Genomic DNA, 1,890 nt, shown 5'->3' with positions numbered 1-1,890 from the left:
GATCAAAAGGTCACGAGATCGAGATCATCCTGGCCAACATGGTGAAACCCCGTCTCTACTAAAAATACAAAAATTAGCTGGGAGTGGTAGTGTCGGGCCTGTAGTCCCAGCTAGTCGGGAGGCTGAGGCAGAATTGCTTGAACCTGGGAGGTGGAGGCTGCAGTGAGCCAAGATTGTGCCACTGTACTCCAGCCTGGTGACAGCAAGACTCTGTCTCAAAAAAAAAAAAAAAAAGGATAAAGGGCAAGTGAGACTCATCCTGATGGTTTCAGGGCAGACAGTAGGTGCAGAGGTGCTGGGTGTTAGGAAACAAAAGGATAGGGTCTTGCCACAGGGCCCTGGAGTTCTGGGTCCCCTCTTCAGTCCTGAAGGAGTGATATGGAGGGTAGGAGATAGGCCACCTAATCTGGAGTTCCTGGAGTACCTGGACCCTCATTCCTACTTCCAAAGTTGTTGAGGATGGGCCTGGCTTGGGGGCTCTCCTGCATAGCACATATTGCCTAATGCTGTCATTAACCCAGAACTAGATCAGGGTCTTACCACAGATGACAAAAATTCCGAGGATAATTATTACTGTTCAGGTTTGTAGCTAAGTATATTTTTCCTATAGCTAAATCATCATTTCCTAAATCATCATTTATTTAGAAAGCTTGAAAAAAAATTAAAAAGTAAAGTTTCATGTTTCATGAAGTCTGTATAATTGAGAATTCTGTCCTGTGTTAAAAATTTGTCCGGCAGTACTGTAATGAGTTGTGTAGGCTGTACACATTACATATTGTTTTTGCTGTAAAATACTAATTGATCACTATTTACATATGTTGGACTAATTAGATCATTTTTTCTTTTTTCAAAGGGGTTCAACCATTTAGCTTCAGGGAACTTTAACCTTGCAACTTGCTGCATGCAAGGGACTGGAATCAGACAAGGGCCTGGTCCTAAACCCAGAATAACTGAAATTTAATTCCTGAAGTTCAGGAATTGCTATAATAAATGCTATGCAGAGAAGTGAAATGTGAACACAAGACTTGAAGATGGAGGTTTTACTATTATGTAATTAACAAGAAATCTTGCTAGCCTAAGTTTATGTATGTTTATAGAACTTTTCAACACTTGGAATTTTTGGTAAAGGGCAGGGAGAGGGAAGGATCCTGTCTTTAAAACTGAGTTCATGGGTTAAAAAACAGAGAATTGCATAGTGATGAGGGTCTACTCTTCATCCTAATGGATTCTTCTCTTAGCAGCCTAATTAGTGAGGTTTAAATATCATTTCACTTTCCTTGATCCTCATCTCACAAAAGCATTAAAGACCAACCCAATGGGATATAATTGCAAGTTTAAAATATTTGAAGTCAAATACTCATCCATTCACTAAAACATAGTGAAATTATTGTTTTGAGATTTTTCAAGGGATAAACTTTTTGAGAAGGATTAAAAGGGATGCATTTTTATCAAGCTTTCTAGTGTGCAATATAGGTCCTAATTTCTTACATTTGTTTAAATCTTGGATGAATTTCCAAAAATGGCAATTACAGAAGGGGCTGGTCACACCAAGATGTTGCTGAGACTTGTGAAAATGGGCTCATATATAAGCATTTCCATAAGCAGAGTGAAACTGAATAAATCAAGAGTGAGGATTTAACTTAAGAGCCCTGAATTTGCAATGGAACAGTTGGAGACCCTACTCCTGCCACCTTTTCCCTCTATAATAATTTTCCATTTGTAGCATTGTGAGTATAATTTTGCTGCCAATTCCTAGGGCAATCATCAGTGGGTTATGGAAAGCACTCAGTGATTCCACAGTGACTTCTTAGTACTTATAGATTAACCCTCTGCCACTTAAGCTATGATAGATAATCCTTTAGTCCCTATCCCAGCACAATCTTGTATTAC

Source organism: Homo sapiens, chromosome 13, assembly GCF_000001405.40.
Source record: "Homo sapiens chromosome 13, GRCh38.p14 Primary Assembly".
Taxonomy (NCBI): Eukaryota; Metazoa; Chordata; class Mammalia; order Primates; family Hominidae; genus Homo; species Homo sapiens.
Note: the sequence above shows the minus strand (reverse complement) of the source record.